General features: G+C 46.6%; 1 protein-coding gene and 1 long non-coding RNA gene across 10 annotated transcripts in view; one reads left to right on the top strand and one right to left on the bottom strand.

Moving 5' to 3' along the window:
• The window catches only part of FLRT2 (fibronectin leucine rich transmembrane protein 2), a 124,285-nt gene extending 117,385 nt beyond the window's left edge, over window positions 1-6,900 (bottom strand). For 2 of the 9 annotated variants that reach the window (NR_144386.2, NM_013231.6), the window contains exon 1: window positions 6,510-6,900. The gene's annotated coding sequence lies outside the window, so the exon portion shown is untranslated. Of the gene's footprint in view, window positions 1-3,050; window positions 3,696-5,260; window positions 5,878-6,487 lie in introns of those variants that run through there. The other 7 variants (NR_144385.2, NM_001346143.2, NR_144387.2 and 4 more) reach the window with 6 other exon arrangements.
• FLRT2-AS1 (FLRT2 antisense RNA 1) lies at window positions 5,385-11,998 on the top strand. Its single transcript, NR_184170.1, has 2 exons — window positions 5,385-8,427; window positions 11,537-11,998. It is a non-coding gene; the product is annotated as an FLRT2 antisense RNA 1 (long non-coding RNA).
• The last annotated feature ends 211 nt before the right edge of the window (window positions 11,999-12,209 follow it).

Below are 12,209 nucleotides of genomic sequence, written 5' to 3'. Positions count from 1 at the left end.
TGAAGTCTAGTTACCACATACATATTTTGAGCTCGTCTCAAGTTTCCCTTGTTATGTAAGCACTTAGGAGCAATAAAATTTCACTTACATTCAGCAGCATTGTGAGTCCCAAAACAATAGTCAGCCTGACTGTACAATCCCTTCATTGGCAGTGGATAGCTCTGGTGTTTTATTTATGTTGATCACACTGTCAATGCTATATGGAATAACCATTTAGTTGCCTCTCTATTAGTCCATAACATTTTTATTACTGTAATTAAATGTCATTATCCATATTGAACTCTGTATTAGAAAAATCAAATTAGGTAAACTGAAATATCCAGAAAGAACTACAGAACTGTTGGGATTCACCCCCAGCACCCTGACGTCATCTTCAGACTTTGATGAGAAGGAAAAAAAAAAAAAACCATGAGTATTCACTTCTCACAGATAGAGGTCACTAATGGACTGAATTTGAATCACTGTAGCAGAAATCACAAAGTTATTAAAGTAATCTAGTGAAAAAGGAACTCGAATTGAAATTAAAGATATCAAAAGATGATTATCCAGAAAAGTCTGACCTGAATACAAATATTACATCACCTTGACCTTTTTTGAATCTTCTAAACAGAGAGCAAAACCAAAAGCCGCTCGGCACCCTTGCTGTTTTTTAACTTCAGACGCTTCAGATCCCAGAAGCAGGAATTCTTCCTTGTAAAGTACAAAGCTCAAGAGTCAAACTAGATCAGATGTTCACACTGGGTCTCTACAGAATAAAGCTTCTGGACTTGTACATACTTGAGCCTTTCTTAAAACCACAGCTTCAAACTGGGAAAATATAAAGTTGTCTAAATCCTAAATCAAACTCTCCAGCAGGCCAGAATATAAATGTAACGGGCATCAGAGAAGGTTCAAATTAGATCCAGCCGGTCAAAGTCAAACTCGTATATGATCACATCATCTGAAACCTAACATACAGGAAAAGCCAGGACTGCTTTGGGGACTCCAGGGTAGCCCAGCATGGTGTCATTTGGGAATCTACTTTCTTCTGCTAAAAGCATCCCCTGGAATTTCTAAAACTGCAATGAAACTACTGAAGTGTTAAGACATGGGCTTTAAAACAACAACAACAACAACAACAACAAAAAAAAAAAAAAAAAAAAAAAAAAAAACAGCATTCCTTCCATGCTAGGTTTGTAATAGGTTCTGCTACAGTACAGCTAGCCCAATTCTTTTTACAATTTCTTGTATCTCTACTGGCAGAGACATGGAATAATGTTTGAAATTTCATCTTCCAACCTCCTCCAGTCAAAGATATTTGCAACTCAACATGACAGTATGGTGTTGCACTGTCTTCAGTGATTATTAAAAAATCCCTAAATGGTTTAACCCTATCCTGTTTCGGGCTTTCAAGGAGGGGAGGAAGAGAAGTAGTATTCTCAGACGCAATAACGCTGTGGAGAAAGAAGTAACTTTTCATGGTATGCGTATTACCTACAGATTGATTCTCTGCTAATATGGTGGCTGGTGGCTTGCCCGTCATAAGTAGCTGGCCCATGTTGTTCAGTAATGAAAACAAGTGAGAATCTAGTTCTAACACTTCAAATACGGACCTAAAATTTTACATTCACACTGAACAACCTAATATATCCCTGGACAAATGCCAATCTGCATTCTATTTACCTCAAAATGTTGTTGTTTTTTTTTTTTGGGGGGGGGCTTTTCATTGGATATTTATTAAGGTCATACCGGTTAAGTCTACAGATAATATCGGTCCGATATGGAAGCTAGCCTTCAGATTAGCTTTTGGTTGTGAGAAATTAGACATAATAAATTTAGCAATAAGTCTGTGAGCGAGTGGACATGCTCCAAAGCGCCCTGAAACCCTGTGTGATTAAAGAGCCTCCCAGCTGAGTGGGGAGCAATAGCTCCCATTTAGAAGAGGCTTTGCATAGCAAATGCAGCATGTAAAGAAATCTAATCAGCACCTTGCACTCTTGAGCGAGCGTTTACACGGATTTGTGCCTTACACTTGGTTAGCTAACTGTAAGCTTTACAAGAGATTCTCTTACTAAAATTAATCAAAAGCTCTTGAAGACTGATTCCCATTCACAGGAGAAGACAGGATGAGTTTCCAGGCGAATAAATAATGATCATAATAAAGATAGCAGCAAACGCTGAGCTGCTTTGAAACTAAAAACTCAGTTGGGGGAAAGGGGGCGTCGGGGAGTTGGGGCTGGAATCTTTTTGCTTTTGGAGTGAGCTGCAGCTATTTTCTTAGCCTAAGTAAGGCTGCCGTTCGGGAAACGTGACCGTCTTCTCTCCGCTGCCGCCGCCTCAATGCGCACACGCGGCCACTCACTACCTTAGGACCACTGCGCATCAGGCCACCGAGAAAAATTCCGCCTCTCTGCAACACCACTAACCCCCTCCCCCAAACACACGCACACACACAGACACACATACGGACAGTCGTGGCAAATTCACATCACCAATAGCTAACACGTTTCACCTCACCCCTGAAAATGTAACTTCTAAAGTTCCTATTTTATGATGCCAGAAGGTGAAGGGAGGGAAGGAGGATTCCAGGGATGTCAAAAGGGGAAAGGATATTTTTTCCTCTTTGCTTGCAATATTTCACCCCTGAAATTTGCTGTCCAGCTAAACGAAGCAGGAGAGTAGGGAGTGGGCTCAAATCATTTTTTAAAAATGCTAAACGGGTGAGAGTGTGAAGGGGGGAGCGTGCGGTAAGTGAAATCCATGAACCATTTCTCTGGACTGAAGAATACTAAAAGCCCCTGGATTCACGTTCCAAATTTCCAAAGAGCTACAAGATGAGGCACCAGCTGGGGCTGAGGGTTCTCACCCACTCCTGGGGGAATTTGCCTCTCAGCACAGCTGCCCCTCTAACGTGACTAGTGATCTGCCAGCGCTCGGTGCTCATCCCCGGGATCTTGAACTTCGCCTCCCTCTTACTTTCTGCCAGACCCGCGAGGGCCAGGAAGGGCTCTGGGAGGAAGCGGGAGCGCAGCGGCGGGGCATGGAAGAAGAGGGTTGGGGGCGCGCGTTACCTGCAAAGGTTCTCGAGGTCTCCTTCCAGCCCTGGTGGTAATCCCGCTCAGCGCCGCGCCCTCCCCCAGATCCAAACTTTTGCTGGGTCCTCCGGGTGGCGGCGGCGGCGACGGCGGCGGCTGCTGGAGCCAAGCCCTGTCGCCCGCAGCGTCGGGGCGCGGGGGTGCGGAGGCCGGAGCCTCAGAGCGGCGCGCGCCTCCCCGCAGCGGGCCGGGGCCGGGGCGCCCAGCTCGCCTCGCTTGCTCTCGCCTACGTCCCCTACGGAGCTGCGGCATCGTCTTCCCCCGTCCTCCGCCACCACCGCCTCCAGGGTTCGGGCATGCCACTTTCTCTTGGCTTCGGCCGCCGCGACCCCCGCCTTCTCTCCTCCTCCGCCTCCCCCTCTCCGCTTCGCCAAGCCAACGAACCCCAAAAGAAGTACAGCGAGCGGGGAAGGCGGCAGAAAGCTGCCCCGCGGCGCCGGAGCTCCTCGGATTTGGAGGATCCCGGGACTCGGCGGGAGAGCTAGGCGGGCTCTCCTCCGACGCGTGTGTGCGGACAGCTCGGAGCCGGGCGTGCGGCGCTGCGCGGGGGCGGGCGCAGGGCTCGCTCCAAGTGCTGCGCCCGCCCGGCGTGGGTCTGGAGGCTGCTCAGACCACACTACTGCCTCAATCCGACGCGGCCGGGCTAATGTAGGCGCCGCGGCCCCCACCCCTACCCCTCCTGACACCCCCGGATATGTTTACAGTAATGAATTCGCGGGATCGCCTCCGCAGCTCCCGCGCTCCTCCTCTCCCTCCGTCCCTCGCGCTCTGGCGCGCTCCGCTCCTGGAGCCCTCTTTCTCTCCCTCCCTCATTCCCTCCCTCTCTCCCGGAGTCCCTCCTACTTTTCTGGTTTAAAGAATGCTTGGGAGGCGCGGCTGCTACCCAGTGATTTCCAAGAGGCAAAGTCAGACTTGGCTTTTAACCCTGTCCTCTCTGAAAAGAGTTGAAGAGCGCCTGGCTAACCCGGCAGATGCCACCCTGACCTTCTCTCTATCTACCCGGCACATGCCGTTCCTACCACCAGTCCTTAGGGATAATGTCACCATCTGAACCCTGAAAGGAGAATTCCCCATACCTGCTTAATGGTGTACTGCCAAGAGGGAGGATCTATTACTTAGACACTGAGAAATGATCGAAATGTGAGATTAGAGGGTAAAATACAGCAAACCTCTCAACCAAAATGGCGTTATTTCAAATGCAGGCAACCTTGGTGATGTGCCCCCCACTCCTCACCCCATCACTAGTTCCCTCATCCTGGACCACCTTAAATGACTTTAACTGGGGGAGTAATCCAAAATTTAATAGGATTAATTTAAACACCCCCACTTTCTTCCTTCAACCTGGCTGCTTCTGGCAAGAGCGTTGTTAAATTTCCCCATAGATTGCAGCGGACAAAGAAAGATTCAGCCTAAAGATTAGGAAACAGTCTTGACAGCTAAGAAGCCTGATTTCTGTACAGGCAACGTTTCCACTTCGCAGTCTCTTTCCAAAGGTTAAAGGGTAATGTAAAAAACAAACAAACAAGTAAAAAAAGCTAGGTGCACGTCTCTATTTAGGAAGGAGGAGATGTTTTTGGTTTTCTCATCTTATTTCGTGCTGCTCTTCCTGCCTCCAGTAAGTTGCTGTCATGTTGTAACAAGTCCGGTGAGGCTGAATCTGAACAGAAGAGGGAGAACGAGCCCGCGCCAAGAGCTACGCCGAGACGCGCCGTCGGTGGGGCCACGCGAGATGCAACCGGAGAGTTTAAAACTAGCCCAGGACCAACCCCCCAGGGATCCGCTCAACTCTCCCCGCAGAAGAGTTTAAGTGGGGCAGTGGCCGCCACAGGCTGAGGATGATTTCCGGACGCGCCCCAGGCGCGACCGCACTACTCGTCCTCAGTTCAAAGCCTGAGTGACTTGGCACCACTTCCCCAATTGTTTTTTATTTCCTTCGCATCCCTGTTGTGTCTACCGCTTTCACGTATTTGAGAGCCTAAATCATGTTAAGACGACTTGGAGAAACGCCCGATTTGCCTCCCAAGCCACGCAAGGATCCACCCAGACGCACGCCCGCGCGGAGACGCACGCTGGCACACGCGCTCACACACGCGAGCACACACACGCGCACACTACCCGGTTCGTGCGCGCGGGTCGCTGTTCCTGTTGCATTATGCAAAGGTGGCTGGGAAAGCGCGTTGACTTACATTTACATAGCCCATCTTCTCCCCACAGTATGTGACTAATACGTATCCCGGGGAGGAGGGAGCGCGGCTGGGGGTGCTAATCGGAAGGGAACAGACAGTGAGTGCCATCTTGCTGGGAGGTTCCAGAAGCAAAGCGCCAACGACGACAGTAGCGGTGGCCTCAGCTCCACCAGTAACTGCCGCTGGCAGGAGCACCACACGCTCTAGGAGTTTCCCGGGTATCAAGTATGGGTCCAGCCCGTCCCAGTTATCCTCTTCCCCTATGGCTTCATTCCCGTTGTCAGTACCCCGACCTCAGCTTGCAACCTTGATCTTGGGCTTGATTATAAATGACGAAAGACCGCGGCAGCCTTCAAAGTGCGGGAGCGAGCCCCGTACTGGTCAGCGCGGCGGAGGGATCTTTCCAGGAGGCCCCAAGCCCCCAAGCCTGTGGAGAGACTTGGTAACAGCTGGCAAGGCCTGCTCCAGCCACCCTCGCTGGCTCCTTGCCCCTGCATTCAGCGCCTGAGGGCGTTATTCGCCCTCTCCCTGCGTCCCACGCAAGCGGCTCAAGGAACTCACTCGATCCGGATTCCGCCTCGTATGCTCTCCAAGCCTTCGCCACCTCCGCAGGCGCTCTAGAAAGGCGTGATGGCCCCAGCTCAGTGCCCGCCAGCCCGAAGAGGACAAGCAGGGCTGGAAGGGACTTGGTTTTGGAAAAAGCCCCACCCGCCCCCACCAACTGGAAGGAAAAGGAATTAGTATCCACCGCATCTGTTTAACTGCTAATAGATCCCAGATTACGGGCAGGTAGTAGGTTGGTGTCTTTAGATACAACAGCCTGATAATAACGCTGGTGACATTAACAACAGCTTGTGGAGGGGAGAGGGTTGTTACTGGTGAAAGTTAAGAGATTCAATCTAGGGAAGTAGGAGACTGAACTCTGACAAGGTTAGGGGCACTGAGAACCCCAATTTAGCATCGATGCATCTACCAGGCAAGAAAATTTGCGTTTTGACCCAGAACTCAGTCATGATGCTCCGTAGAGGAGGTGGATTCGACCAGCAGACAGATGTCCCCAAAGTCGAGAGAGAGCTAAGCTGCCTATTTTCTCTCCAGGTGAAAGACAAAGCCTAGAGCACCCCACTTAAGATGACCACCCCCAGCTCTTTCAAAAAAAAAAAATCCCCCGAAGAGACAGCGTGGTGCCAGCGTAGCAGCAGCTCGGCCGGTTACTGGAAACTTCACCTGGCAACGCAGCCCCTTTTACCTGACGGCTGCGTCTTCTCCTTGCAATGGGCTCATCCGAATCCGACAGGGTCAGGGAGGTGGAAAGGGAAGACGCTGGCGCGGCAGCAGCGGGGATCCCGGGGCATGGTATTGTTTTAGGGGTCGCCGCCGAGGTCCCTCCTGCCCATCGTTGAGAACTGCCACCCTGATCCCAGGGCTCGGTGGACACGGCGGCGGGAGCGGAGATGCCGCCTCGCCGCTGCTGGGCACCAGGGACGGAGGACCAGAGGCGCACCTCGGAAAGGAGTAGCTCAGCGCCTTGGCGCGGAGATTTGCGGGCACTGATGATATCTCGAGCGCTCGTTCCTCCGCGGTGACAATGGATAATGCCAAACGCGCAAGTGACGGCGACAGGTTTCGAACGTACAACTAACTACAAGGTACCCAGCCTGAGACAGTATGCTGCTTTTCCCCTCCTCCTCCTCTCCCTCCTACCAGGGAGGGAACTAACTTAACCCTGTGTGCGCCTGACACTCCCTAGAGAAGCTGGGATCGACTAGGAAACCGCAGGCAGCGGCTCCCGGGGGCGAGAGCTTTGTTCACGTGCGTTTCCAGTGGGTGTGTTGCTGTCTAGGGGCACTCGCGTGGCAAGACGCCCGTGGCTGGCTTCCAGCGCCCAAGATTCAAGGAAGGGAAGGAGCCCTAGCGTTTCATCCGGACCAGACCCAGCCCTCGGAGTCTATTTTTTGCCTCCAGTTACCGGATTTATTGAAGTTGCCAGCGAAGTTGGTTTTATTCCTTTACTTCTCTGCTCTCCGCCCCCGTCCACATCCCCCAACCCTGTATTATTTCCTGTCCTAGCTGCGCTTTAAAGATTCGGAACTTTTCACTCGTTCTAGCTACAGATTTTAACTGTGTTCCGTGTGCGAGACGAATTGTGGAGGGCACCCACCCACCCATGCCAAGTGTAAATGAAACCGCAAGAAAAGCTGCCTCCCACTCACCCATCCAGTGTCCGAGTAAGCCTAATGACACACATTCACATAACTAAGAAGACACGGGAAGATAGGGGTGCGGAGGACGGAGTTTGATGTGTGAATGGGAAATGGAGAGAGGGGACAGCGCGCGCGAGAGAAACAGCGCGAGCCTGAGCCTTAGAATGGAATAAACGGGAAACACACACAAGAATGACGATGCAAAAAATGTATCTAAGTCCCAACATTGACAGCAGAGGGTCAGCTTTAAGCGCCTACATTTTGATCCGCGAAATTTCCCAGCTTTTTTGGAGGCGGTTACATAGAGAACACAGGAGCCTCTGCCTTGGCCGCCCAGATGCTTTGCATTTTGTAAACAGCTTTGACTAAGTGCTCTGGACTTCCAAGAAGTTAACTGGAGTGGAAGGCGAGTCATATTGTGGATGCGGAATGGAAGCTTAGACAAGAAAAAACTGTCAGCAGAGCGCCTCTGCTCTCACCGTCACACCCAAATGAGCCAGGACGTCGCTCAGAGCGCAAACTGAGATCCACACAGGGACATCTTCAACCGAATCTTTCTTCTGTCTCCATTCCGGACTAAGGAAAGAAAGAAAGAAATACGGAGCCTTTATAGAGTATTCAGAGGCTACACACATGGATCTTGCTGAAACGGAGTTATTTAAAAACAGAGAAAGTGTGTTTTCCCATGAGATAGATGTTATAGTTTCTCTCTGAAACATACCCAAGTCTATGGGTGTCAATAATAGCCATTTCAAATGCCTCTCTGAGCCTTGCCAGCCCCAGAAGAGGCTGTGGGAATGCTGCTTCCAGCTTCCCCTGTGCAGAACTCCGTTGTAAATCCTTCTGAGTTTCCAAGGTGGCAGCAGAGCATAGGGATAGCTCCTCAAGCTCCAGCATCAACAAGGAAGATCACATTTTAGGACAAATACTCATCTACCTGCATTTAAACATCCATTTTCGTATGTAAGTGTACATAAGTATCCGCAGGAGGTTCTTCCTTTGAAATCTTGATCCAGGAAAGCAGCATAATTATTTCATCTTTAAGAACACATTTTAAAAAGGCAAAGCAGGATCTTTAAAGCAACAAAGGTTTTGCTTTCTGATTTATGCTGCTAGAAAATGAATGAGATTGAAAATGGGGGAGGGGGTGGTTGCAGATTTACAGAATTCATACTTTAAATTATTGGTGTTTCTAAACCATGAGCAAACCATGTTATGAGTATGTGCCACCTATTAAAAGCTATTGGTTGCATCTATTGTAATCACGACAAGGAAAATTAAGTAAGAAAAAATATCACGCCAAAGTACAAGCAGAATCGTTGTAACAAATTTCTTATGCACATGACCTATGAGTCAGCTTTAGAAATGTGTGATGATGGGGCCAGAGGAAGCAAACGAATAGGAAATGTGGCTCAGGGACTCCAAAGAGCAATAATTTTGCAGACTTAGAAAACTATAACAATTAGGTTACTTTATTTTTATTAGGAAACTCACTGATCCATAAGAGAAGTGGGTGAAAGAAAAACAAAAAGCAAATCTGCAAGCTTCAAAAAACAGAGGGTCAGCCCACTATTCTTAAGACTTCAGTCCTCAATAGTTTTCCTTTCAATTGAAATTGATTGTCATCTCAAACACTTTAATCCCCCACCCGCGTGTTTCTTACATCATTCCCCATCTATACACACATAGGTACCTTGGCCTTTCTTTTCTAATACTTTGTGAAAGTAAAAATAACACAGTATAATAAGATCATGATTTGAGCTCAGTTTTGATCTTGGGTAAATTCAACTCTGAGGTGCCTCTTCATTTTTAAAATGGACATTAAAAAAATCCCTGTTCTGCCAGCCTTATAACATTGTCCCACCATGAGTCAGCATATGTGAAAGTGCTTTAGAAATTTGACTTGTTGTTACTACTACTGATATTATCATTACATCACACCGTATCAGCCTTCAAAATATTGACAAATTATATTAGTGTAAACATTGTCAGTCTCCCCTGATGTTATCATCTTATATTACCTTAGAACATTTATCAAAACTAAGAAACCAGCTACATTGCTATTAACTAAACCTTAAACTTTACTCATATTTCATCAGTTTTTCCACTAAGTCTTTTTCCTGTTTCAGGATCTCATCTAGGATACCACAATGACTTTAAATATCCTGTCTCCTGTATTCTGTATAGTTCTTCAGTCTTTTCTTGTTTCGTATGATCCTGTAAGTTTTGAGAAGTGATAGTCAGGTATTTTGTAGACTATCTACCACTTTTGGTTCATCTGAAGTTTTCTCATGATTAGATTCTAGCTATAGTTCTTGGTAAAAAGCATCAGAGGTGGAATGCCTTACTGATCACATCATGTCAGCTGGCACATGATATCAGCATGATGCCACTGATGACATTAACATTCTCCAAGATATTTCATACCAGGGTTCTCTACTGTAAAGTTATTTGCCCTTTCAATACTCTGTTCTTTGAAAGTGAGTCACTAAATCTGGCCTACCCTTAGGAATTTAGAAATTTTAAATGAGCAAAATAAGCATTTATGACTTGTAAACATCTCAAATATCAAATTTACTCAGGAATAATCTCTCACGAAATTTTTCCTGTATGCAGTTTAGAGAAGTCCTCCTGTATTTCCTTAGAAAGTGCTGAACAGGCCGGGCGCAGTGGCTCATGCCTGTAATCCCAGCACTTTGGGAGGCCGGGGCAGGTGGATAACGAAGTCAGGAGTTCAAGACCAGCCTGGCCAAGATGGTGAAACCCTGTCTCTACTAAAGATACAAAAAATTAGCCAGGCATGATTATGCGCACCTGTAGTCCCAGCTACTCTGGAGGCTGAAGCAGGAGAATTGCTTGAACCCGGGAGGCGGAGGTTGCAGTGAGCTGAGATCGTGCCATTGCACTCCCTCCTGGGCAACAGGGTGAGACTCTGTCTCAAAAAAAAAAAAGAAAGAAAAAGAAAAGAAAGAAAAAGAAAAAGGAAAAAGGAAAGTGCTCAAAAATCTCCTCTGGCTATGTATTTTGAAGCAATTTTCAGTTAGTCTGTGTTTTACAATTCCCAAACCCTGTCATTCTCCAAATCTTGGTAAAGTTTTTTTTTTTTTTTTTTTTTTTTTTTTTTTTTTTTAATTCTCCCTTTCTTCCAGTCCCATTGCCACATTTCCGGATGGTTCAAAATTCCAACTTCTCTATGAAAAGATAATATCCATTATGTCCTACACTTCTCTCTTACATTTTTCCACCATTATGGTACTCATTTCATTCTCCCTTAAAGTAATATTAGCAATCTACATGTTTAATCTCATGTCTAGATCTTATTGACTCCAAGAGTTAAGTTGGTTTCACTTTTCTATTCTCTTAGTGTCCAGTATGGAACTTTCACCTGATTGAAGCTCAAAACATGGTTGCTGAATTCACAAATAAGCTCCCCTGTCAGGTAGAGAGCATCTTTTTCTCCAAGGTGTGGACCAGTGTAAGGAAACCCATGCCTACCACACTATGGAGAAGTGGGTTTTCTTTTCTCTCATGAATATAAAGTACTCAATCTATGACATCCTTTAGTGAGTGTGACTTGATTCATGTGAACCTGTGACATTGAAATGCATACCTTCTGATTTTGAAACACTACTCTACAGTAAATGGCTCATCCATTTATCCAACACACATCTGTAGAAAACACAAAACATGTAGCAGGCCCTTGATGAATAGATTCAGTCCCTATCTGTCAAACCTCAAAGTCTAGAGGAGACCCATAGAAAAATAATTATCCTCTCTTTAGGGAAATATAACAATTTAGATATATACAAAGTACTTTTGTGCCCTGAAACAGGTTCTCTCTAGAGAAAAGACCTCATTCAAATGATGATGAGGCTCTTTTCACAATGTACTGATTTTACCAGGGACTTCGTAGCATTATTTTATATCCAGCCTTCTGCATACAGCAGCCCCAGCTACTGGAGTCCCCAGTCTCGAGGAAAGTCCTTTGGGCCAAGAATTGGAAAATCAGCATGGAAGTAATTGCTTGAATATCCATTTCCTCAAGCCGTGGTTTCTTTGCCTTTCTGTGCAGGTTACAAGATGATTATGCGTGAACAAAAACAGAAGGTACATACTGGCAGGAAACAAAAGCACGTTAAACCATGGAGATTTCCTCTTACATAAACCTGCCATTTGTTAAGCAGTTGCTGTCTGTTCCACAGGGAAGCTGGCAAAAACTTGATACAAACATTCTCCAACTGCACTGGGAGGAATAAGTGAAGGTAACACCTTTTTAAGAAGGGCATACAAAGAGATAAAAGATCTACCTAGGGACTTACTCAAACCTAGATGCTACCATTGTACAAAATGTTACCAAGTCTACCTATATCTAACTATAGTTCTGATAAAGAGGGAAGTGATGTTTTAATTTGGGAAAACACACTTAATCAAACATGTAAATGAGATTCTGAATTAAAATTCATATGTATTTTCTCTCACTATCTATCAACGTGCTAGAAAAATAAAATTGCCTTCTTTGGAAGGACAGGGGCAATTTTCAAGAGTGCTTATTCAAAGAAAAAAATGAATATTTGCACTCAAACTTTATGCAGTTAGAAGAAGGTCTGAGCTTGGTCTTGGAAGATCTTACTTCATGTCTCCATCTTACCAGGGAAATCACGTAACTGCTCTGAGCCTCAGCATCCCTTCTATCAAATAAAAAAAGTATAATAAAGATCATCTTTCAGGGTAGGTATGAAAAGATC

This window comes from Homo sapiens, chromosome 14, assembly GCF_000001405.40.
Source record: "Homo sapiens chromosome 14, GRCh38.p14 Primary Assembly".
Classification (NCBI taxonomy): Eukaryota; Metazoa; Chordata; class Mammalia; order Primates; family Hominidae; genus Homo; species Homo sapiens.
This window is presented reverse-complemented; position numbering and strand designations above follow the sequence as displayed.